General features: G+C 41.8%; 1 protein-coding gene across 8 annotated transcripts in view, besides 1 other annotated feature; it reads left to right on the top strand.

Annotated features, from left to right (window-relative positions):
• DAB1 (DAB adaptor protein 1) overlaps positions 1–27,325 on the top strand; it is a 1,551,949-nt gene that overhangs the window by 1,429,006 nt on the left and 95,618 nt on the right. The gene's annotated exons all lie outside the window — the stretch shown is intronic.
• Positions 5,093–5,627: an enhancer, noted in NCBI's record as "OCT4-NANOG hESC enhancer chr1:57577767-57578301 (GRCh37/hg19 assembly coordinates)". NCBI's record gives its function as "activates a minimal SCP1, AML or CMV promoter by ChIP-STARR-seq in naive H9 embryonic stem cells {active_cell/tissue: H9 hESC(naive)}" and the evidence as "EXISTENCE:reporter gene assay evidence [ECO:0000049][PMID:30033119]".

Genomic DNA, 27,325 nt, shown 5'->3' with positions numbered 1-27,325 from the left:
AGATAACAAATTCAATACTGGCTCCACCTGTGAGCTACATTGTCTTGGCAGGTTTTACAAATGCCCTGGAACTCAGTTTCTTCATTTGTAAATAATGACATATACCGCACTGCACCGAGGGCTTGAATTGTACTATGAATGTTAGAAATGCCTTGAAAACTGCAAAATGCTCTGTTACTGCTAGTTGCCTCAAAAATGAAGAGATGGCATTATTTGAAAATAAAAATAGAAGTTCATAGGAGGGCTCCATAGCTCACCAGTTCTGTGATCTTGGGGACTTAATCAGCCTGAGCCTCATTGTCTTCATCTATAAAATGAGTAGCTTCATCTTAATTCTCCACACCTGCTTCGCAGAGTAGTTATGCGGCTCCAATGTGATATAAGTGAAAGTGTGTGTTTAAAAGTTGAACTCTACAGCCATCTGCAAATATTAGTCAGTATGTTTATTACAGAGATGGCCAGCCAGTAGAGTGTCTCCTTTGTCCTTGCCAATTGAAAAGCGCTTTTTTATATGCAGTACATTTTCCCATGTAAAAAAACCCTACTTTTCACTGCAAGAGTTCCAGCTTTTTCAGCCAAATTACTCTTCTCACCAATTCTGTATCTTAATTGGAGAGAGAATTGGAGAGCGACTAGGGAGGAAACAGAAGTCAAAGCCAGGAATCATCCAGTTTTTTCCATGTAGGTACAAATTAGAAGATCTGTGACTGTCTTCGACTCTCATTTTGCTGTCTGCTGGACAATGTTTGCAGAGTGCCGGGATGAAGTAACTAAGATCTCTATTCAGGATAAATGCTAGTTCTGCTTTGTACTGAAAGATATATGCCAGGATATAAAAAGAATTCTCTCCATGGTGCTCCTATTAATTCATAGCAGTTATAGAGAGCTGTAAAAAGCCACCTAATTACTTATTTCTCCTGCTGTATATTTCAAGGATGGCAGGTATCCTAGTAGATTCAAGGTAAATCTGGTATTGAAGCCATTGGGCTATAATCTTCTTTTTTTCCACCATCTTGTCTGCAAGAGACAATATTGGCCCTAAGAACATTTTGTCCTTGGGCTTCCTTTATCATTGTATGAGTTGGGGAGACACTGAACTGTCCACTTTGCTTCTGCTGGCCTCTGCTTGGCCACTTGGATAATAAAATGAGGACAGTGTATCTTATGGCTAGATATAGATACAGTTTGGAAAACACCAGAAAACACTGGGATAGCTTCTCCCAACCTGCTTTCTTTCTTTTTTTTTTTTTTTTTTTTTTGAGACAGAGTCTCACTCTATTGCCCAGGCTGGAGTGCAATGGCGTGATCTCAGCTCACTGCAATCTCCACCTCCCGGGTTCAAGTGATTCTCCTGCCTCAGCCTGCTGAGTAGCTGGGATTACAGGCGCGTGCCACTGGGCCCGGCTAATTTTTGTATTTTTAGTAGAGATGGGGTTTCACCATGTTGGTCAGGCTGGTCTCGAACTCCTGAACTTGTGATCCACCTGCCTCGGCCTCCCAAAGTGCTGGGATTACAGGGTGAGCCACCACGCCAGGCCTCCCAACCTGCTTTCTAAGCGAATCCACACTAAACTGCTCAGCATGCCAAGATGAGAAGCGTGTCCCCAACAGTTTTTGGACACAGTCTGTGGAGCTTTGGAAAGCCCAGCCACAGAGGTCACTGCCATGTTCATGATACAGGAGACCATAGATAGTAGGGACAGATGGACTGGCAACCCCACATCACAGCTGAACTATGGAGGCAGGAATGACTGTTTCTATGTCTCCTACTTGCTGAACAACTTTCCCCATGGCCTGATGTGGTTACATCATTTGTTTGATAATCAGGCCCTTTGAAGAGATGTTTCAACCCAGTCTAACTTCAGATCTCTTCCTTACAAGAACTCTATTCTTTTGAAAAATGCCCCATTTCCTTATTACCCAAAGCACAGCCAGGGCTTCCACAAGTTGGAGTGTTTTCACCTTTAAGAAGCCTGCTCAGAGAAGACCCCAGCTCATGTTGCCTTCTTCCTGAGCCTTTCCCAACTGAAAGCCCTCCTTTTCCTTTCTGAATACCCAGGAAGCCTCTGGCCATGCTTCTAGAACTGTGACATGCAATACAGTAGCCATTAGCCACAGGTGACTATTTAGATTTAAATTTAAATTAATCACAATAAAATAAAATTTAAGAACTCACTTTCTCAGTGACACTGGGCTCATTTCAAGCGCCACATGTAGCCAGTGACTCCTTTATTGGACAGTGCAAATATAGAACATTTACATCATCACACAAAGCTTTCAGACTGGGCTGTTCTAGAGTATGTCTCACTCTGTCCTGTGATGAAAATGCCCACTTCTTACTGAGGACCTTCTCTGTGACAACCCCATGCTAAGTACTTTATAATCCCCAGAACATTTCTAAAATTAAGTGTGATTTAATATATGAGAAACCCTGAGGCTTGGTGGTGATAGGTAACTTGTTCAGGATACAAAGCTGGTAAGTAGCAGAGCTGGGATTAGGCCCTGCATCTGTCTGCCCCGAAGCCTACCCTCTTAGCCACAATGCTACACTCACTGGAGATATCTAAGTCCTGCAGTAAATGCATTGCCTCCTGTGTTTCTGTTTAGCGTCTTCTGTGAGCCGGTGAGATGGAGGTGGAGCTGCAGAATGGGACTGGGCAGGTGCTGGCACTAGGGTGTGTTGAGGATGGTGTTGGCCATGCACTGCACACTTTACATGCATTTATTCAATTTAATTCTCCTAATAACCCCACTATATGGATACTATTATTATCTCTACAGATAGAGAAAGAAAAAAAAAGGACAGCTTACAAAGTTAAGCAACATGGTGATGATTAAGTGGCAGAGCCTGAAATGGAACCCAGATGGTCTGAATTCAGAAGTCCTTGTCATGACCACCAGGTCTTGCCGCTTCAACTCATCTCACTCTGATTTTAGTCTCACTCCAAACAGAAGGGTTCTCAACTTCTTTTTAATATGGAGGACCTCAGTGAATCCACTGCTTGCTTTGGGAAGGCAAACAGAGTAAAATATCTGAGTGAAACTGATGCTTCTGAGTGCAGGAGCTTATGTAGTCCCTGGAGAGCTGGCCTTGGTAAAGCCTCACCTTTTCCTTCATACTGAAGTGCTAATCGATGCAGCAAATACACCTGATTGACTTCTTGTCAGAGCCCCATTTTGCAACAATGGACAACATCTTCTGTAATTTGAAAACTGATTACAGACCTAACTATCCTGCTTTGCTTTTTTTTTCTTCTTAACATAAATGGAATTCTCTTTAAGAAAGAGCAGAAGCTTTTCCGGTTGATACTGATACATTTCCAAGGAGGTTTCTTTGCCAACCCCCTTTTAAGTGAATCTATTAAATTATAGTAACTGAACTTGAAGATACAGCAAAGAAGAAAATAGCATCATCTTCCTTCCATTTTCTTTCCTTAAAAATTCTGAGCCTAATAAAAAAGAAACATTCATAAACGGCGTTTGTTCCATTTTCTCGTATATCTGTAGCGGTCTATTCACAAACAAATTCTACCTATAACGTTGGTGCATCTGAAATCCTAAATACAAATTGGCTGGGGATGCAGATGAGAACATAGTGAGTGATCCCCAGTTCTACATTCATATTTTGGCCAGGGAAGGGAATTTAAACAAGGATCACCAAGGCAGGGAGACCAGGTCAGTTTCCATAGAAACTAATTCATACAGTGACTTTGAGGCATCACCAAAAACAGCAGGGAAGTGTTCCATCCTAGAGTTGAACTGTACTCTAAGAGTATGTGCATTTTGAATTATTTGGTCATCCTTCTCAAATAGTCCTCAGGAGTAGTGGTATTTATGAGTATTTACGAGAAAGATCACATGCTTTGGAATGAGAAAGGTCTGGATTTCAGTCAGTGCTATATATACCTAGTAGTTAAAAGAGTAGTCTTTAAAATCAGGCTGTAATGAAACACTTCCTGGATCTAGAGCCAGAGTTGACAAAACTACAATGGCTTATAGGCCAAATCTAGCATACCACCGGTTTTTGATTGCAAGCGTACATTTTTTAATGGTTGAAAAAATCAAAATGAAAACATTTCACATTATGCAAAAATTATATGAAGTTCAAATTTCAATGTCCATAAATAAAATTTCATGGCAATACAATCACACTCATCTGTTTACATATTACCTATGGCTGCTTTTGCACTATAAAGGCAGCATTGAGTTGTTGCCACAGAAGCAGTATGGTCCACAAAGCAGAAGAAATTTATTGTCTGGTCCTTTGCAGAAAAAGTCTGCCAACCCCTAATCTAGAATTTTAAAAGCTAAAATTACTTAAGGTCTTTGTACCTCAATTTCCCCATCTGAGAAATAGAGTTAATAATAGTAGCCAAGTCCTTAAATAGCCTCAAATTCCTCACCTATAAAATGGAGATAATAATACCTATTTTATAGGATTTCTAAAAGGATTAGTGGGGTAGCCTATCAGTAACAATAATGGCCAATTTTTATTTAGCATTTAATTGACAAATGTGAAAAACAAGACATGGAATGGTTAAGTGACTTGCTGAACCCACTCAGGTGGTAAGTGACAGAGCTGGGTTATGAAACAGGCCATTCTCAGAGCCTGTGGCTCAGCTCTAAAAACTGTCATCTAACCTCAGTGCCCTTCAGTGAGTGAGTCTGTTCACCCCCTTTTTCCTCCCCTTACCCCCACAGTGGTATGTTCCTCTTGCCTGTGTTTGCCACTGTTGCCATTCTATTTAATTTTGTTAGTCCTTCATGTTTCTGTCTCCAACATTCACTTAGAATTGTATTGTAATTGATTGAATGTATATTTGTCATCATTTCTAAAACGTGGTTTTCTTAGGCTTGGAAACTGTTTCTTTTCATCTTTGTACCCCCTACTGTCTAGTATGCCACCTGGCCCATTATTAGGGCTGAATTAGCATTTGCCAATTATCTGAATGAACAAATGAGTGAATGAACAAAAAAATTGATTCGTTTGTACATCTTCTTACATTAATCAAATTGAGCTTCTTTGGGTGATATTTATTAGTTATAAAACATTTGGTGTATAGCTGACCTGAAAGCTCATGTGCAAAGGAATTGTTACTCATGGGTAGCCTATGTTATGACTGGCCCCTTGAGTTTACAGGAAACTGGAGAAAAACACATTGGCCTCCTAGTTGAAAGAGACATTTTCAGCTTGCTCTCTACCTGGGCTTGGCAGCTTCATTCATAGTTACTCTTTGAAAATCCAGATGAATTTCTCACGTAGAAGACAGCATAAGGGCCCGCTAGGTCAGGAATTGGACTGCCCCATCTTGGTGATGATTCACCTGCTGGGCTGGAACAGAAGACCATTGTGGAAATTGACAGAGACCACAATAAGCTTCCCTGCATGCACTGACTCAGGAAGGCCTAGCCTGGAGATTCACAGTGGGAGTAACTGCAGCACTTACTCTGAAGTATGTCTTTGGCTGTCAGTCTGAACACAGGGCCTTGCAGCTATTCTATGCTCTTAGTCTCCTAGCTGGAAGCAAACTTCTAGACAGACATAAAGGAATGCTGAAATAAAACAGGTCATTTTCTTTCCATGTTTGTTTCTTTTTCTCTAAACCCTAGAGTAAAAGAAAATATGACAGCAAGAATGTCATAAGGACATCACGGACTTTTATGTGTTAGATACTTTTAATAATCCATAGTGTTTAATGGGAATATCATTATTCTTATTTGGCAGACATTGAAACTGAGGTTTCAAAGGTAGAAGTTATACATGTAGGGCATTTAGAGCCTAGAGCAAAATTTAAGTTCTTGACTCCTGAACACCTAACCCGACCTCACTACAAATGCATCCTAGACTTGGGGCAGAGATTATTTAGTCATTTATCTATACAGCAACTATGTATTGATCACCTATAATAAGCACTAAGGATTCAGCACTGAGTGAATAAGACAGGCAAAGTCATGACCCTTATTACTTTCTATTTTATTGGAAGAGTCAGGCAATAACCATGTAAATAAAATAATTTCAGATAGTGATAAGTACTGTGTAGTTTTTAAAAATTCGGGGTAATGTGATAGGGAGTGACTGGGAGGGATAGCAAAATTAGATGGGATGAGACAGGGATGGTGTCTCTGATAAGGGGACACTTAAGCTGAGAGTTGAATTCTAGAAGAAGACATGAATGAAAAAATTAGAGGGAAGGGTGTTGCAGGTGGACCAGTGCTAGCAGGTGCTTGTACACACAGGCAGAAATTGGTGTAGATAAAACAAGAGTTCCTTTCCTGGCTGGAGGGTGTGCCCCAGCCCTGATGTTGTAACAATGGCTGTGTTGTCTGGACTGTGTCATGACAGATCTGAAAACAGTGTCTGAACAGTAGTACATAGAAGTAGGTTACAGCCGGCTCTAAGAGTAACAGGCTCTGAATTTCCAAGATGAGCCTGAATTTAGAATATTTTGTCCCATTAGAACACTCACTTCTCTTGAACACGTGGCCTGTGAGGGCTGGAGAGGGGCTCAGGGTATGGGTGTGTCAACCTTTCCTTCCTCTGCTGGACAATTCCATTTCTTCCCATATCCGCCATCCAAGGCCCACCCATCCTTCAGGTCTGGCTCAAACGGCTCCTCTCCTGGAGACCTACCCTGGTTACGGCCCAAAGAATTCATCTTCTTTCCCTCACTCCCTTTATCTGCACTCTTTTGTTATTCTAAGCATATTCTTCTCTGTACTATATGTATTTCTGTTTATTCAATAATATATATTATATATATTTCTGTTTATATAAGCCTTGATATATAAATATCAAGGCTGGAGTTAGGCAGGATCTGGGTTTGAGTCTTAACTTTCTGATGTGTGATTTCAGGCAAGTTGCTCCATCTCTTTAGATCTCAGTTTTGTCATCTGCGAGTGGGCATAGCTATAGTGCCTGTAGCATAGGGTTATTCTAAGGTGAAAATGAAATAACGCCCATGAAGTACTGAGTTTATAGCAAGGAGTCAATAGATGTAAATGATTGCTGTAATAATGGTTACTGTGTGCCTCACGAAAGATTGTTTACTCTCCTTCATTAGGCTGAGGGTTTGAGAGCAGGAACTGTGTATCATCAACATTTATATCTGGATTATCTGGCCCAGTTCCTGGAATATAAGTAATGTTCACTAAATACGTTGAGTGAATCAACGAATTGTTTTTAATAGATGTAACCACTGCAACATTATAGAATTTCAGAGCTGAAAGGAACCTTGTTGTCACTGAATGAATTTACCTTCTTAATGTAAACAAAAGGAAACTGAGGCCAACAGATGTTAAAGAGTTGAGCCAAAAGTGACAAACCCCATTCATGGCAGATCTGAAAACAGTGTCCGGTTGCTTGCAGAACAGCATTGAACATGGAAGCAGGGTACAGCCAGCTCTGAAGGTAGCAGGGCTCCAGTTCTCCAAGATGAGCCTGAATTGAGAATATTTTGTACCATTAGAACACTCACTTCTCTTGAACATGTGGCCTAGTTTTTGTTTGTAAATGGTGGCAGAGACTGGTCTCGCTCATGTTTTTATTCCTAGCAGAGAGCAGACCCTTGGACAGAACAGATGCTCTATAAGCATGTGATAAATGAACAGACACATGTGGCCACTTTACTTATAGCCCATTAACATAAAGTGTTCATGTGCAAACTACTCTCAAGGTTGATCTCGTTATGTCTCCTGTGTCACAAAGCCCCTTTTGTAATCTCAGGCCTTGTCCTGTCCCCGTGGCCTGTCAAGGGAGGAAAGTGGTAAATTTCTGCTTCCCTGGGAGGTAACATGCATTGATCTAGCCATGATTTAAAGGCTTATGAGCATTCAAATGACACCTGGGGCTATTGATTTCAGAAGCACAACAGATTGAGTTTAGAAATCATTTAATGGTCTAAGATTCATGCAATCATTCGACAAATATTTAGGAACTCCTACTATGTGCCGGGTATGTTTTCCTATTCTCATCAGGAATAAGAGAAAAATAATAATGCCTCCCTCATAGGGTTGCTGTGAGGAGGGTTGGGTGAGCAATGCATCTGGATCACTGAGCATAAGAGCTGGCACATGATAACTGCTCAAAATATTAGCTAGCATTTACAAACTATATTCATAAAATTGTGGTAATAATTGCAGTGTTGAGGAAAAAGCAAAGCTACTACACCATACTTTGAATTCCCACATTGCAAAGCTGCTTCTCTTATTTTTTTAAATTCATACTCCAAGTTCCATCCATACCAGACTATTTGGGACAGCCCAGCTTTTCTGGAAGAGAGCCATGTTTGTTTTCCAGAGAGTCAAATCAAGAGGTCACTAAAAGAGTCTGCTGGGTGTTCAAAACGAAGCACTTTCCTTAACAAGCATGAATAAACTAAGGGAGTTTCTTGGAAACTCATGTCATAAATTGGGTGCCAGACACAAGCATGCTAGAACCCCAACATGAACTAGAGGAGAAGAGGACAAAGTCAGGATCAGGGTTCAGAGGTGAGTTGCCCCTGGCTGCTGGTCCTCAGAATGAGAGGTCTGGGGCTTGCTGGGTACCTGCTTCTCCAAAGAGGCCCCCTAGAAGCAGTGGGAGAAAGCCAGAGCAGAAGACAAATTTCAGTCCATCAGAAAGATCCAAATTCATATGCCAAATACAGACACCAAGTCCAAATGGCCATAGCAGGATGGAAGTCCCAGTTACTAAGCCAAAAACTCAGAGTTAGCTAGGGACGGTATTCAAAGTGACAGTACATCAAAGATGAACTGAGACACATCTCATGTGGTTCTCAATACCAGCCTTGGTGCAACCTGGCATGACAGTGACCAGTCAGGTGGCAGGAGTGGGGATGTGGCAGCCAGTGTCCTGAAGCCAGACATGACTCATTGTATTTAGTCTTCCTAGAAACACATTGCAGAAGGTACTATTATCATTTGTCCTTTCCGGTTGGAGATACTCACTGTAGGAGTTTCAACAGCTTACCCTACTTCACCCAGCTAGCAGCTGGTGAAGCCAAGAGTCAGGACCAAGCAATCTCACTCCACAGTCCACTCTCTTGACCCTCATACTGGACTTAGGGAGTTCATATTCATATTCTGGGCTAAGTACTGGGCTAAACATTGAGAAGGTTGTCTTAAGCAAGACGATGCCCTGCCTCAAGGAGCTTACATTTTAATGAAGGAGATAGGACAATAATAAATAGCTAAAAGAGTAATGAATGGTGGGAAATGTAGAGAACAGTACTGTGGGGATGAGTAGGAAGAAGCTAGCCTGGTTAGAGGTTCAGGATAGTGACGTGCAGGGTAACATCCTAGGGTGAGAAGGAACTGCTGCATGGAGCAGAGAAAACGTGTTCCAAACAGCTGAGTGCAGGTAGATAAGGCCAGTAATCTGGTAATGAAAACTAGTAATGAAACGTTTCTGGGATGTGAGATTGACTTATAAGAATTCATTTGGATTAGTCATTTCTCCTTACCGAATTTAACAAATATGTCTCTCAGTGAGTCCTTGGAGCAATTTGCTCTGAGGCTGCTAATAGGCTCATTTGGGGATAATATATTGTGCTGGGATATTTTGCGTTTTTACCCTACAGCCTTGATTGGAGAGGCTGTCAGAAAGTCATTCTTTACAAGGACCACACATATGAATTCAGAAAGATACAGGAAAAAAGACATAACCAAAGCTGACACTGAATAGCAGGGCCTCAGGGAAGAAATGAGATGGGATGCAAGACCATCTACCAAGTGCCAGGAATGATGCATCTATTATTTCATTTAGTCCTCCCACACACTCTGTTGAGTTAGGCATCATTATCCCTATTTAGAGATGAAACAGAAATGCACAAGGCTCAGTTGCCTTGTCCAGGGTCACAAAGCTTGGGAAGAAGCAGAGGTTGTCTTCCAAACCAAGACTGTCTAGACCCAAACCTGGGCTGCTCCTGCTTCTTTCTGGTTTCATTCAAGCAGTAGGACTATATACTTTAGTGTTCTTACAAAGGAATCTTGTAAGTTCAAATTGTGAGCCAGCACAGAAAGAATCCTTCAGCTTTCTGGACCTACATTTACTCATTTCTAAGGTCCTTCAGGCTTTAAAATTTATATTCCATGGGCTGTTGGTCCTCAGTTCTGGTCTGGACTGATCCAAGCTTTTTTCCACAGTTGTTCCTGCAGGACGGCACGTATCACACTGTGTTCTGGGTGGGGGTATCCCTGTGGCTCCTCCTCTTTAATTCTAGAGCTCCTTGAGTGCTGGTTCTCTATGTTCCCCTAAAACCTATCACAAGGTCCAGCATATAATAGGCAGCACTCTATATTATGTTGAGATGCTTGATGGGTTGATTTTTTTTTTTTTTTTTTTTAATGAAACAGAGTCTCAGTCTGTCACCCAGGCTGGAGTGCAATGGTGCAATCTCGGCTCACTGCAACTTCCGCCTCCCCGGTTCAAGCGATTCTCCTGCCTCAGCCTCCCAAGTAGCTGGGATTACAGGCATCCACCAACATGCCCAGCTAATTTTTGTATTTTCAGTAGGGACGGGGTTTCACCATGTTGGTCAGGCTGGTCTTGAACTCCTGACCTCAGGTGATCCACCTGCCTCAGCCCCCCAAAGTGCTGGGATTACAGGCGTGAGCCACCATGCCTGGCCTGGGTTGATTTTTTTTAATACTTGGGGAAATCTTTTTACGTACTATGCCTTCATCACCTTATCTATCAATTAGAGATATCAACACAATGATGCCTGAAGTTGTTTCCAGCCTCATGATAACCTGACCACCTATCTGTAGATAGAACTTTCCCTGAGACCCCAATAGATGTAGCTATTGCTTCATCTGTGCTATCTCCTACTTTGTATCTGTTTTTATTTTTTTATAATGTGTTTATTTAGCTGGATCTCTCCCTCTATCAATCTGTGAGTCTTGAGGGCAAGCACAGGGTATGATTTATCTTACTTTCCATCAAGTTTAAGATACAGAAAGGGCCGGGGACATGAAGAATGAGTGAATACTATTCCTTTATTACTTCATCAATGTTGTGTCTTTAAATAGCTGTACCTTTTCCTACGGTTGGATCAAAGGGAAACCACTTTATTTCTCAAGCATTTTCATAATCTTTGAAGGCCTTGTGATATATGAGTGAAGATTCAAATTTGTATGATTTCCAGTTCTACATGGGCCTCCCTAGACAAGAAACAGAAAGGAAGCAAGCTCCACCCCATCAACTGGATCCCTTTGGGACTGATCCAGACCCACATACATCAAAGATGGGTTATGCTTGTTGTTTATAAAAGAGCTGTGCACCCCGCCAAACTTGGGAAATGACCTAAAATCTGTGATGAAGCATTTAAATTGGGCAAACAGAACACCCGCTCCTTCCACCCGCTGTGTAGAGATGGACTTAATGAGCCTGTGTCTTGTTGAGATTAAAGGAACTAAAAATTCCCCCCAAACATTCAATGCAGAGATAATACTGATGGGGGGGGGTGTTAGGGGGATAAATGAACAGGAGGAAAGATTTTGAAACATCAAATAAAATAGCAGGAGCTCTATGTGCCATTTAAGATCTCGTTTCTGTTTCAGAAAAGGTTAACCCGATGTGATTATCGTTGCCTAAGAGAAAGGGAGAGAAACTATTAGGAACTGAGCACCTGCTAGGGGCCTCACAAGACATGACAATCCAGCAAAGTAGGTTTTAGTCTTTGCATTTGACAGATCGGGATCCCGAGGCTTACAGAGGTTAAGAGATCTGCTTGGCCTCACCCAAGACAGGAAGCATCCAAGCCTGGATTCAGACTCAGGGCCCCCAGCTCCAGGTTCATGCTGTTTCCCACAGTCAGTCAGAAAGGACCATCAGTGATAGGATCCAGGTCCACTTTCCTCCAAACCCCATGTATGCCCTAAAAGGAAACCACATCATTCATAAAATTAGAACATGAAAATAAAAAAGGAAAAGGAAATAAAAGAAGAAAACGTTAAGGAAAATCAAAGTGGCATAGCAAAATCATGCTGGGTTCTGGAGGCTGTCTTTGCAGACTGTTTAATTGGCATTATATTTTGAGGGTTAGATTAGAGGAAGAAGAAAAAAGACAGTGTTCAACCTGATTTACATGAAAATGAGAAGAAGGGAAAAAAGTGGGGTATTAAAATGTGTGAGTTGAATCCTTAGATCTCTGCATCGTGAATGGCTCACGGTAGAACTTTTAAATTGGCTACATTGCTTTAATTGAAATACAGAATTGTAATAACACAATGTGACAGGCACCTACTAAGGGCGACTGCGGCTGCTCCCACCTTTCCTTGGAGCAGCAAACAACAGGGGGATGGAAAATACACACACACACAGACACACACACACACCACACACTGGGAAGCGCTTGAAAGGGCTTTTTCTCTTCTGGGCTCTTTGAGGTTTGCTTTTTTGAAAAATGCATTTTTTTTTCATTTGCTCCAGGGTCCAATTAATTCACACCACCCCACCCCCAATCCCAGTGTGTTCTTGCCATAGAGGTATTTTGCATTAATTAGGGTGTTTGCTGTTTACTAGATGGAAGGAAAAGAATTTGTAAAATATCCAGATTTGCCTACAAAGACCCCAAATCTGTTGATGGCCAAAAACCAAACTGATGAGTCAGTTGAAGATCTTACCTGCTGGCGTCTCCTACCCTCACCCCTGTTTTTCCTTCATCTGTGCATGGCTGTGATCATTTTCATTTGTGTACAAATGTTGGAGTTTACTGCAAGGGTACTTAACCTAGAGACAGCCCTGGGAAAAAGGCTTAGAATTCAAGGGCAGATATTACTCAGGCAGGTAGTGAAGCAGCCTAGGACTGGAAGGGGGGCCCCACCTTCTCTCTGAGCTGGCATCCCAAAGTCCCAGCTCCCAAATCTTGGCAGAATTCAGACTCTAGTTATGACTGTCCCAGACTGCCCACTCACTCCCCAGCCCCCACCCAACTTCTTCTACAGTTCATATATTCATGGTCTCATCATCTCAAGACTCTCCTCCTGTCATTTCCTAACCTCTCTCTCAACCGAATGCCATGAAGTCCAGGTTGTTTTGGGGCAGCTGTCATCAGCCCCGTCTTGTGAGTACACTAGATGGGCAACACGTTCACTCAGTTCTCCTCACATCATTCCCCATAAAGTTCCAGCCTGAAATACACAGTCTCCCTGAAATATACAGCTTTCCCAACCATAGGGCATAGATTAAAATAACAGGTCATGACTTAAGTCGATTTAAGCCCTCCCTGCCCTAATTCCCAGCACACCTTTTCTAAATGTCAACCTACTTTACTATTAAAAATCAGCAAAAGTTAATTGAAATTTTTAAATTGACTGGTGCAGATTATAAAAATATTCCTTTTTAAACTATCTGTGGTGAAGGACTAGTTTTTTTTTTTCCAATTCATCATCAACCAAGACGTGGTCCTACAGTGCCTGCTTTGGGCCACTTGTGACCTACCCTGTGAGTGACCAAGCTCATCTATGTCCTGTTCAGTGAGGCAGGATTAATTGAGAACACACTTGGATGTTGCAGCACAACCACCATAGAGGTTTCTAAACTATGGTTTTCATATGTCTCTTGTTACAGATCAGAAACAGTGTGTAGACCAGTACCAGTCTGCAGACTGCAGAATGTGTATTCAGGATGTTCTTGCCTTCTCACCCCCATAACCTACCACTGTCATGTAGAGGGAGAGGCCCAGGACCCTCCAGGGCCCCATGTCTCTGGCAGTACTGTCCTTCTAGTTTGCACAGACAGACCCTTGATCTCCTCACCTACTCATGATAAATCTGCCATACCTCTCTCTCAGATGTACCTACCTTTCCTTGTGTCAGCTGCGGTCATTGTCACCCAGCCTCCCAACATCACTCCCCTGCACTGACATAGGGGTCCCCTACCTGGGTTCCCCGCTTAGTCCTTCTGTCCCCATTTCAACCCACTCTGCAGAACCAAGCCACAAGCAATCCTTTTAAAATATACATGGAGCATGTTCATGATTCTCTTCCACTTAAAGCTTTTTGGTGGCTTCATTTGCTCTTAGGCTAAGATCAAAGTACTTGATGTGGCCTACAGGGTGCTGGGGGGCCAAGCACCTGTCTGCTTCCCTGTGTCGCCTCCCTACTCTCTCCTCCCCAGCATGCCTGGGCTTCTCAAAAGTCCTCTGACTCCTCCTTTCCCCACACTCCTAGTACACATAACTACTGTACTCCCGGGATCTGCTCTAGGTACTTTGCAAAGGGTGATCTCATTTAAACGTCACGTCCACAGTAGATGATTAGTCGTGTTTTTAAAATGAGAAAACCAGAGCTCAGAGAGGTTAAGTGTCTTGCTTAGTGTTGAAGAACAGCCAGTCAGTGAGATCTAGCCCAGCCTGGGAGATCTGGGCCTAAGTCTGCTGCTGCTGCACTGACTTGTCCGGTGTTGGCACCTGAGGAGAACACATCTGCAGTGACGTGTAAGGAGTTGGAGGATCTTCCTGTCTGCCCCCTCACCAGAGTAACATTGTCCCTTCCTACACTTCTCTGTGTTTGGTTTTTCTTCACCAGCCCCCCTCCAGCTGACCTTTCTTTCCTTTTAGCATTGCATCTCATTTACTAGATAATGTGCTTCCAGCTGTTAGCACCCAGGGATTTAGTGTTAGCCAGAGCCTGAAGAACAACTAAAAATAGCCCCATTTTGTCCATTTTCTCTAGAAAGGCCTGAGCGTGTGGGTTTCTGAGACCCAGTCATAATTGCAATGACCTTCATCTCCTGTTTGGGCCCTGCCATTTTGGGGAGAAAGCGACTTTACTCCTTGTCTTGGTCACTTTCAGCTTCTTGCATAGGAGCTTCCTTGGGCCTGGCACGATGCAGAAATCTACTGAGCTGACAGTTTTCAGGAGGCCCCAAGTATGTTCTGGCCTCTTTAAACACGTGGATATGCATTTGGAAATCCATTTACATGAATAAATGAACTGTTCAAGAGATGAAAAACATTTTTTTTCCATTTAAAACAGGAGAAAGAAAATCTCCTGAACTTTGCAACTTCATGATATCCTATACTTTGTGTCATTGGCCTCCACTGGAAGCAAGAAAAACAATGAAAAGAGAGGAAGATAAAAGCCTTCTCGATGAAAATAGTTGAAACAAGCACTGGCAATGAAAAAATTCATATGCTGTAATTATAGATTTTTTTGTTTGTTTTAAATCCTGGCGCTCAATCTGTGAGTTCAGTTTAATAATAATTATGCATGCAAGTGCAAATTTAGTATCATGTCAGTCAATTCCAAACACTATTTACAAAATGGAATCATTATAGTGCATTAATATAATGTAGACAGTAGTGTAGCCTCTTTCAGTATAATATCCTTAAAACATGACCACAGGATGGTTGCTGGAAGCCTTCAGAAGAGTTTAAGCTTATCTCAAGCCATCATAATATCATGTGAACTTTGTTTCTGAAAGAATATAGATTGGGTTCTCCCATTAGCAATGTATGTGGCAATTGTTTGTGATGGCTCAGAGAAAGAGAGAGAGACTGAGACAGAGACAGAGACAGAGAAAGAGAGAAGAATGTGCATCACTGAAGGGAAGACCCTCCGGGGACCTTTACTTCCATACTTGGCTCTATTACTCCAAAGACCGCACTGCATTGAAATTTGATTGTTTACATGTCTGTTGCCTCGCTAGATTGCAAGCTCATTGAGAGCAAGGGCCCTTGCTGAAATAGTAGGTGATGTGGCATAGGGATTTAAAGCACAGGCTCTAGAGCCAGACAGCCTGGATTCAAATCTCAGCTCCACCAGCATACTAGCTCAATGGCTTTAGGTAGGTAATTAACTTCTCTATGCCTCAGTGTCCTCATCTGTAAACTAAATAAATTGCTAGTAATAATGCCTATCTCAGAGAGTCATACTGCCTGTCTCATAAAGTTAGAACTGTTGAGATCAAGTAGGTAGAGCTCTAGAAAGATGCCTGGCACATAGAAAGTGCTTACTGAATGTCAGCTATTTATTCTCACTCCTGTACCCCCAGTGCCTAGCAGAGTGCCTGGTGTAGAGTAGAAGACCAATCAATGTGTGAGGGGTGGAAGGATGAGTGGATGGATGAATCAATAAACAGCATGCCTGTAATCCACAGTGTGCATTGCTTATCTGAATCTATAGCTTTCTTTTTATTTCAATGGCTCTGCCAGAATGCAGGCCTCTCCTTTGTTGGAACTTGAGGCTGCCTGGAGATGATTGGATTTGGTTCAGATAGCTATCGGGAGAGACAAAGAGGTTTGCACATCAGAGACTGAAGTTGAGCCTTTGCAAATGTGCAAAACTGAGAATTGAGGCAGAAGTCATTATTAACTCACACATTTAACAGGATGTTTGCCTTTCAACAAAGGGTGACTAATTAATGTAACAGTTGATTATGTAGCTCCCTTAATTTGTTACTGGTTTTCAAATACCAAAGTAATTACATCACTAAAAGAGGACAGTTGTTAGAAAGTCAGTCTACAGAAGAGATTCAAAAAGGATTGCCTCTGTTGGTTCTAAAGTCCTGTTTCGGTGTAGTCTTGTGTTTGGGTCTGATTTGGCAGCCATTCACAAGTCCCTGAGTAGAAGTCAGACCCAGTACCATGCCAGGGGTAAGAAGGATAGAGTGCCTCCTGTGGTGAGCAGATGTGGATGGGCTGTGGGGTCAGACCATCTGGGTTCAAATCCTGACTGTGCTGCTGACCAGCAGTGTTCACAGTGCCCATCTCTGGAAATGGCACCACTCATAGTATCTGCCTCATGGCGATGATGGGAGGATTAAAGTGCTTAAACCATGTCTGGCATATGATAAAGGCTAAAAAATATTTAATATTATTATTATTCATGATTTACCTTCTGCTTTTCTCTCCTGCCTCATGTCCACCATGGATCTTATTTCCCAAGCACACCCAGCCCCTGATGACCCTGTGCCTACTCATGCGTGCTTCATTTCCCTTTCCCCCACCCCCACCCCCACCCCAGCTTGGCGAGCTCCCAGTCATCCTTCAAATCTTAGCCTAACTAAATTGTCTTCTTTAAAGCCTCTCCTGCCTCTGCCACTAGGCGGAATTAGGAACTTCTCCCCCTCTGCCACTTTGCCCCTTGAATATATTGTGTTTCAATGACTTTAACATTTTTTTCTCACATTATAATATCTCTGCAATCAGCATTTGCATTACAGTTTATAGTGCCTTTGATTCAGTATAATACAGCATGTCCATTATAGCTCATTCCTCATCGATTATCATTACTTGTGTGTCTTTGCAACCTGAGGATGGAGACTGGGTATTAACCAGTGCCTAGACACAGCAGTCAGTCAGTGCTGCTAAACAAATAGTAGAATAAGTGAACAAACAGTATAGCTACTTGTCTGATTTTTTAGGTAGTACAGTCTAATCTCTTTGGATATGTACTAATATCTGAAAAACAACAATAACAACAACAGTATAGCCTTTACCATGTGCCACATACCATTCAAAGCACTTCTATGTATTAATTAATTTGCTCACTTCATCTTCATAATAACCTAATGAAGTAGATTCTATTTTTATCTTCATTTTACAGATGGGGAAACCAAGATTCAGAGAGGTTAAGCAACCTGCCCAAGATCCCGTAGCTAGTGGTGATGGAGCTAGGATTTGAACCCAGGTCATCTGGCTCCAGAGCTGGCAAATCTACCGCTTGATCACTGACCTTTTGTTTGTGAATAGATTGATTTAATACTCTTTAATCAGGCATCCAAAGGCTTTCCTACTCTATCAGCACCATTTGCCTGGACAACCTGTATATACTAGCCAACGCTCTCAGTTCTTAGACCCCCAGTTAAGGCAGGTACAGGTCTGCACATCTGGCTCACTTCATTCCTCTGCCTGGAACTTTGTCTGCCTTTTCTTTACCATCAATTCAAATACAGAACTGACTTTAAAGCCCATTTTAATCCAACCTTCCATGGCACCTTTGGAACCTACTCCACCCCAAAGGGAAGTGCCTTTGCTTCTAACTCACTGTCTATAATAACCATTGAAAATTGCATACGTGCTAGTTTATGTATAGATAATGCTCTTGCATCAGGGTTTATATTGCGTTGGCTTTTTCTAACCCTGTTTCCACTTTAGACTGCCAACTAATATGAATTTCCTCAAAACTCTTTGTATTCTAGAACCCCAGAAGTACTAAGGATTAAATAAATAATGTCTTCATCAGTTTATTTCTTCTGAGGAACTACAGCTATATTACCTAGCTTACACTATTAGTGTTTCATTCATTTACTGTTCAACAAACATTTATTGAGTACCCGTGATGTTCTAGGAACTGCGCTACTTACTGCTACCCCTACAGCTACTATTACTACTAATAACAGCAGCTGACATTTATCAAACATTTATTTTTGCTCAGACATCATGCTAAACACAATGCATATGCAGCCTTTCTTTAAATTCCTACAATCAACCCTATTATCCTCAGTTTACTGATTTTGAAACTGAGGCTTGGAGAGATCAAGTATTTTGTCTTATAAACACCATAAGCACAAGGATTGTGTTTGTTTTTCCTTGTCTGTGTACCCTCAGCACTCAACAGTTTCTAGCTCTTATGAGGTCCCCAGTAGATATGTATTGATTGAGTAAATGGTGGAACCAGTGAGTTCATTTGTCTAGACCCAGAGCCTCCAATGCTACCCATTATGCTACCTTGGCTCTCCCAACCCAGTTTTACAGATGAAGATACTGAGATTCTGAGAAACGAATTGTCCCAGTCCATGCGGGTAAGCAGTAGCAGAGGTCAGAAAATACCCAGGTCTATCTGACTATTCTGGTAAAAATAATTTTTGGCCTAAAGGCAATCTTACTATGTAAACTATCTATAAGGTAGAGTTAGAATGTGTCCTTTTTATTCTTTCTCAAATAATATCATCCCCAGGGCAATCAAGATTAGGTATATTTGGCGTATAAGTTGAAGAATTGCCCCAATTTTTAAATAATTATTTACATTATTATTTTGGTTATCGAAATGGGCCCCATCATTGCTTCATAGTCCGGTAGAATTAATCCCTAAATTGTAATCTTTCATTTTTCTTCTCTCATCTTTAAACAAGGAACAAGCCATAATGTATGCATGATAAATCAGAGACTTTTATATGATGCAGTTTGATTTCTGTTTTCCACTGTGGCTTGTAAAATGCTTTCATAGAGTGTTAGAGGTCAAAGGGACAATAGAAAAAGTTAGTTCAGCAATTCACTCCTTCTGCCCTCCAGACACACAAGACTCCAATTAGATGGTAATGGGGGTCCGTGAGCTGTTTTCATATAGTCCTGAGTTCAAATTCTACCTGAACCCTTATGAGTTGTGTGACCTTGGACAAGAATATTAACCCCTCTGAGTCTAAGTTTCCTTATTTGTAAAATTAGAATTATAATATTATCCTACAGGGTTGTACTGAAGATTAGATACTATATAAATAAAAGGCCAACTACACTGGCACCAAGTAGACAGTAAATAAAGGTAAGATATTATTTTGAAAAGCCTGAGAGAAGCTATATTTATTTTCAATAAAGTTGTAAAGAATAATCAAAATGGGAAATTTTTTCCCACCTTAGGTTGGAGGTTTATCAACTCTGTGAAGTCACACTCAACAGCTTATTAAAAAATAAATAAAGTTCCTGCTGGGTGCGGTGGCTCATGCCTGTAATCCCAGCACTTTGGGAGGCTGAGGCGGGCAGATCACAAGGTCAGGAGATCGAGACCATCCTGGCTAACACGGTGAAACCCCGTCCCTATTAAAAATACAAAAAATTAGCCAAGCGTGGCGGTGGACACCTGTGGTCCCAGCTATTCGGGAGGCTGAGGGAGGAGAATGGCATGAACCCGGGAGGCGGAGCTTGCAGTGAGCTGAGATTGCACCACTGCACTCCAGCCTGTGCCACAGAGTGAGACTCTGTCTCAAAAATAAATAAATAAATAAATAAATAAATAATAATAAAAATAAAAAAGAAATAAAGTTCCAACTGGTAGTTAACCATGTCCTTTATAAGTAAATGAAAATTATATAATGATGAATTAATACTTAAAGTAGTTTAGGTGACAGTCCTCAAAACCTGGAGCACACAGAAGCATTAGTGCTGCCTTGGCCTTTAGGAGTTCTGTGATCTCCAAGTATGGAAGAGACATTTGCTGCCTGTGTCATAACCATAGTCCTCCATATTTCCAGCTCCTGCAATTAATAGCCATGCAACTATATCTGATTATAACCTAAGTGACATACATCACTTCCAGGCCAAAGTGCATAAGCATTGGATGCAACCCTCCAGCTCCTTCTTCTCCTGTCTGGATAACTATAAGGCTTTGGGTGGTAATGTAGAAGCATCCATCAGCTCGGGCTCAGTATGACTCTGTGCATGAGTGGCCCTGCCAGCCCAGATGGTACCTGTAGCTTGAATGAAAGATGAATATTGGTCATTGATATTTTATGGTTAACTTAGCCTATCTTAATATATTAAACCACAGGTCTTCCAGGGTAATATACATCAGGTGGTGTTTATAAATTTTAATTTCTGCAACTGGAAAAATATTGCTCATTCATTCTTTACTCCTTTTATTAATTCATCTATCCATGCATTTATCTGCCTATATATTCAACAAATATTTGTTTAGCAACACTCATTGCTAGATACTAATCTGGGTACTGAGGATATATTAACAAAAAGCCCTATTACCCCTGCCTTCTTGGGGCCATAACCTAGCTGGAGAAACAGACAAGAAAAATCCATAATTACAATCCCATGGGGCAAGGGCTGTGATCAGTAAGCCCTCCTATGTTATAGGAGCCCAGAAAAAGTTATCCCAGCTTGAAAGTCTTTTAAGCTGAGCCTTGGTGGATGAATAGGCATTGTATTATTTATTCAATAAATATTTATTGATTAGCTACTATATGCCAAGTAAGTACTCTAGGCATGTGGATATAGTAGTGAACAATGCAGGCAAGACAATAAATAAGGACACAAATAAGTGAAAAAGTTAATTTCAGAAAGTAGTAAATACAGTGGAGCCTGTGAAAGAGGGTGACATGATAGGGATTGACTGTGGGGAGTGACTGTAGCTTGGGTGGTCAGGCAAGGCACCTGAGAGGAGCTGACCTATGAGCTGAGTTTGCCAGGGCCCAGTGAGTTCAAGACCCTGAGGAGCCATAGTAGAAAACAAAGCTCTCAGGAAGATGGGGATGCAGAGCAGAAACATACAGGCTTCGTTTGTATGTCAGATGTGGCTGGTGGGATACTCAATATTTCTTTTGCTGAATTTAATTTTTCTTCAAGTTCCTTTGCTTGAAATGGGGGAGTTTAAATATATCTCTTGCGGTGGAGATATCTATTATTGGACTCGTGAGTTTTTATTTTAGGCATTTCAGAAAGCAGTACTCTGAGAGGAGCCAGGGAAGAATGAGCAGTAAGCTTTTAAGCAAAGAGGTTGAAAATAGGAAATTGGTATGCTTTGTGGATTTTGAAAAAAACCACCGGCTCTGGAGTGAGAAAGGCTTGGGTGTAAATCCCAAATCCACTACTTTTCCAGCTGGCTGATCTTGAACAAAGGACAACCCCTCTCAGCTTCGATTTCCCTATCAGTTAACTATAGATAATAATAGCAATGATCCAAAAGGCTTATGATGAGGCTCAAATGAGAAAATGCATCAAAGTTCTTAGCATGGTGATTGGCAAGAAGAAAACATTTAGTCAACATTATCAGCTATTACTGCTATGATTACTATTATTCTCATCTTTATCCTTATTGTTGTCACCATTGCCATATTTATTTTGATGGGAAGCATTATTCTTTCTCATATTTGCAATAACTTTTCTGAGCACTTTTATGTCACTTATTTAACAAATTACATATAGGCTACTGTCCCTAATACATCAAGTCCTAAATTCTCATCCTGACATTTGAGGCCTTCTTTTATTTATCTTTAACCAGAATGGTTCCACCTTACTTCCCACGTTATTTAACCCTACTCACCTGCCTCACACTCCAAAGTTCCCTCCTCACACCTAGCCTCCATACTTTCATTCAAGCTGGTTCCCACCCACCACAGAATGTCCTCCCTCTTGACTGTAATAAAATATGTTGAGTGCTTACACTGTGCCAGCCATCAGGGTGGACACTTCATATATATGATGCCGTTAATCGTCAACCCAAAGTAACTGAGACTTGGAAAGTTGACTTTTCTTTGTTTGAAATGGGGAGTCTAAGTATATCTGCCAAACCAAGACAGGTAGGAAGTAGCAGTGGATCATTGGTGATATCTATGCAAAGTTTCCCAGTCCTGCAAGACAGGACTCAGAACTTCCTTCTCCAGTTCTCTGATCCAGGGTAAAATGTCACAGTCTCATTGGGCCTCTGTCCATGTTACCCAAAGTAGGAAGAGAGAGCCTTCAGGTGAACAAAGGCAAAGGGACAAACCAACAAGGCAGTGTAAAGACACAAAGGGCGCTTGCCTCACTCAGTGGGCCCCCTTCACTGTGAAAGGATAGCACTGAATTTCTGAATGACATCTGCATCAGATGGAATCCTGTCCTGTGGCCTTGCTGTGCTACGGTAAACTCAATGCAGAGGTACAAGAGTTTTCTTAAAGGTAAACGAGTCAACCCAGCCTGAAGGAGAGTCTGAATTTCAGTAGATGGGAAAGTTGTAGGTCAGTCTTGAGAAGCAGTAGCCAAAAAAGGGCTTTTCACAGGAAGTCATCAAGAGGTTGAAAGTGAGCAAAGTCAACATGAATGAGGTTGCAGAGTACAAGTAATATAGGGCAAGAGATCGAGGTATGTGGGAAGCCCACTTTTCTATGGTACAGAGGTAGGGCATGACTAGATACTTTAAGACTCAGTTAAGTCTCAGAAACCAGACCCACAGAACCCTACCTCCTGACTTCCTACTGGCCTGGCCTGGATGGAATTTGCATCCTGTGATCCAGGTATGACCCAGGAATGAGAGACAGAATTGAGCATAGGACAGTGATAAGATCCTTCAGTGGGTCTACTCATAGGAGATACTCTCTGATATCAGTTTCAAAATAATTTTAGGATACATGAAAAATACACAAAATAATTTTAGGAGACATAAAAGTCATGAAATGAATCCTTCCCATCCTAAGGAAGTGAATGTGTAATTGTAATTTAGAAGTGGGATGGGCTGATTTCAGCATTACTGCATCCCCAAATCCCCCCTTCGCCTCCTCCCTGTAACCACTCTGACCTCAGGCCCTCTTACCTCGGTAGATGGTCAACTAGAAGATGCTTTCAGCAACCAAATCTGCATGTACATAAGGGAAAGCAAAAAAGGAATTTGAATCTTGCTGCTAGACTTGCTGAGACTCAGGAAGAAGGGAGAATGTGATCCGGATTTTGCAAGCTGAGGTTGGGCTATGTTTCTTCCTTTGAAAGTGAGCTGTGAGGGGGAAACACAGATAGCCAAAGCTGCCCTGCTATGTGCCTGGCTGGTAGCAGAGACTCAGTAAATATTATTGAAGGGGTGAAAAATTCATGAAAAAGTGAGAGAAACCACATTCAGTTAACTAGAAAAAAGAATGAAAAATAAAAGTTTTGAAGATGTCAACTCCAAGATTCCTTTTTTTTTTTTTTTTTGAGGCAGAGTCTCACTCTGGCACCCAGGCTGGAGTGCAGTGGCATGACCTCAGCTCACTGCAACTTCCACCTCCTGGGTTCAAGTGATTCTTGTGCCTCGGCCATCTGCATAGCTGGTATTACAGGCGTGCACACCACACCTGGCTAATTGTATTTTTAGTAGAAAGGGGTTTCTCCATGTTGTCCAGGCTGATCTCAAACTCCTGACTTCAAGTGATTGGCCCACCTCGGCCTCCCAAAGTGCTGGGATCATAGGTGTGAGCCACCGCACCCAACCAACTCTAAGACTCTTAAACACTTGAGCTCATCTGACTTACTAGGCCCTCTTCTAGATACGTACAGAGGTCATTTAACTCACAACTTTATGATGTGTAGTTTACTATTCCCATTTTACCAGCCTGAAACTGAGGATTCTAGGAGTGAAAGTAGTGCCCACAGTCATATGGTTATTTGCAGACTGGAATTCACACACCATCACCATTTATTGGAAGCTTATTATAAGCCTATATATTTTACATGCAATATCCATTTTATTCTTCACAGTCACTCTGCAATTATTATTATGCAGAGTGATGGTAAGGAAATTGTATGTTATTATTCCCATTTTTTTTTTAGATGAAGAAACTAAGGCTTTGCGACCTCACATTGCAGGGTAGATAAGTAGAGATTACTCCATTGCTGGTGGAAGATGATTTTCAAGGCCTGGATCTCAGGCATTAGCCTGGAACTGGGCTCACTGAGTACTAGAATTATTGCCTTATATGGTGATGTGTTATTTCTGGTGCTGAGAAGGCTCAGAGCCAACAGAGTATCACTCTCTGACCAGGGGACCTTTTTCCACTCCACAAGGTGCCAGATTTTTAACCTTGGACATACCTCTGTGATGCAAAGACGGAGGTGACGAGCAGCCACCTGCCTCTGCCTGAAACCCCACCAGAACCCAGGTCCAGTGTGTCATCCTGACCTTTTGCAGAACCTAGGACCAGCTCTACTCTGGACTGGCAAGTGTGCAGCTATGGAACAGTACAGTTGCTCTTTGAGCCTAGGTCTATCTGGGTCTTTGCATTATCTTATCAGGCCCTGTACTTGCTTTTCCTTTTCTTCTGGGAATGACATGAGTAAAGACCCCTCTTCCATCGCCTTCTCAATCACACCTTTCCTGATCAAGAAATGGACTACATTTTTTGCCTAGAAAAGGAAGGCCTGGAAAGGATTTTTAATTTTTTAATTATTTTTATTCTTTAAGGATAAGAAACTAAGTTTTATAGCTTTTAAATGTGTCTACATCTTCTCAGAATATAGGTACTTGGACTTACCCTCACCCTTATAACTGTCAGAGACTTCTCCCATGGCTTCCCCCGTCACCCTGCACTTCCCCTCTCAGGGCACCTGGCACACCATGTTGTTATTGCTCAGGCATGCCCCCCCACCCCCCTCCCCCGCCAGACCACTGTTTGTTCGTTCTCACACTGCTATTAAGACTGGGTAATTTATAAAGAAGGAGGTTTCATTGACTCACAGTTTCACATGATTGGGGAGGCCTCAGGAAACTTAAAATTGTGGTAGAAGGCTAAGAAGAAGCAAGTACCGTCTTCCCAAGGTGGCAGGAAAGAGAGAAACCCAGGGGTAAACTGCCGTTTATAAAACCATGACATCTCATGAGAACTCACTCACTATCATGAGAACAGCATGGGGGATAACCACCCCCATGATCCAATCACTTCCTACCAGGTCCCTCCCTCAACACATGGGGATTTATGGGGATTACAATTGGAGATGAGATTTGGATGGGGACACAGCCAAACAATATCAACCATAATCTTAAAAGGAGCAGGCGCCATGTCTATTTCAGCACTGTACCTCTAGGGTCCAGTATGGTGCTTGAAACGCAGGAAGTAGTCAATAAATGATTTTGTTGAATGAGCAAATACGTATATACAATGGTGAGAACCAATGTCCCCCTAAGGGGTAGGTAGGGTGTCTTTCTAACGGCATGGTTTACCCAGGAGCTGCACTTTCTTATTCTAGGCCAGGACAGAGAGACTTCATTCAGGTCCTTTTCTGCATCTAATCCCATGTGCCAAAGAGAGATGAAATGCAAGAGAGAGTCAATGATGCATCTGAAAGAGTCAGACAGACCTGGATTCAAATCCTTACTCTCCCACTTCTTAACTGGATGGAGTTGGGCCAGTTACGGAGTGCTCTCAACTGTAGGAGAAGGTACATATTCAAAAAGAAACAAAAACCAAAACAAACAAAAACCACACACTTAGGTAACATTTATTAGGTGCCAGGAACTGTTTCAAGTGTATTGAATAGTATAAGCTATTGAATCATCACAACACCATAATGTTGGTACTGTGGTTATCCATGTTTTACAGATAAGCAAACAGAGGCACAGAAAAGATAAATCTTTAGCAAAGGTCACATAGCTGGTAAGTGGCAGGGCCCCCAGGCAGTCTGGTTCCAGTGTCCATGTTCTTAACCTCTGCACTTGCTGCTTCTATCAAGATGATATAGAAAAAGCATGAACTTCTGAATCAGAAGGCATTCAAGGGTGCTGATATCTAATCTTCTGCTTCCTAGATGTGACTTTGGGCTGATTACTTAGTCTCTCTGAGCTAAATACCTTCTTCATTTTATTATAAGGATAACAAAATGAGATAATGAATGAAATAAATAAATTACATAGAGCTTTAAAATAAAACTACGATGTGGTTGTTAACTGATAGATTCCAAAGAACCTTGAATGATACAATGAGATACTTGTCTTATATTCCGTGGGTCTACAGAAGCAATGGGAAGTATTTTTTTTTAAATCAAAACAGGAAAGGCTGGATGGATGGATGTAGAGACAATTTATCAATATTTTAGAATAGCAGTCCCTAATCTTTTTGACACCGGAGACCAGTTTCATGGAAAACAGTTTTTCCACTCACCCTGAGTGAGTCCTTGTGACACAGCAGACACCCAGCATGGGGCAACAAGGGGATGTGGCAAGAAGAAACCCTCACAGCTCTGGGCTCAAGTAAGCAGAGGCAAAACTTGGCTTGAAACTGCTATAATGCATAGCAGTTTGGGGTGGGGCGGGGTGAGGGATAGTTTCAGGATAAAACTGTTCCACCTTAGATCATCAAGCATTAGATTCTCGTAAGGAGTGTGCAACGTAGATCTCTGGCACGCAGTTCACAATAGGGTTCGCGCTCCTATGAGACTCTAATGCTGCTACTGATCTGATAGGAGGTAGAGCTCAGGCGGTACTGCTCACTCACCTCATGCTATGCAGCCTGGTTTCTAACAGGCCACAGATTGGTACCTGGCCATGGTCCGGGGGTTGGGGACCTCTGTTTTAGAAGACATACTTCAATTAGAGGACACTTAAAGGAAATGTATAATAAGCAATATATTGTCATCTCTTGGATTTGGGAATAGCTAGGAGATAGGAATTCGGATCTAGCCCTGGGAGTTTTGTATTCTAGAGGTTTGAACTTGGGCCTGCAACCTCACTTGTTTGAACCTCAGTGTCTTTCTCTGGCAAATAAGTGATAATAAACCTTTCTCACTGGCTTGTAATGAGAATTAAATTTGAACCTATAAGAAAAGCATCAGACAGGTAGGGGGCACTTTAGAAACGCTGGCTCCCTCTCCCCCAACTGGCTGAGCCCCTTGATATTCCCCATTGTATCCAAATGATAGGAAATTGCTAGATGCCT

This window comes from Homo sapiens, chromosome 1 (assembly GCF_000001405.40).
Source record: "Homo sapiens chromosome 1, GRCh38.p14 Primary Assembly".
Classification (NCBI taxonomy): Eukaryota; Metazoa; Chordata; class Mammalia; order Primates; family Hominidae; genus Homo; species Homo sapiens.
The sequence above is the reverse complement of the archived record's forward strand: the minus strand, read 5'-3'. Positions and strand labels throughout refer to the sequence as shown.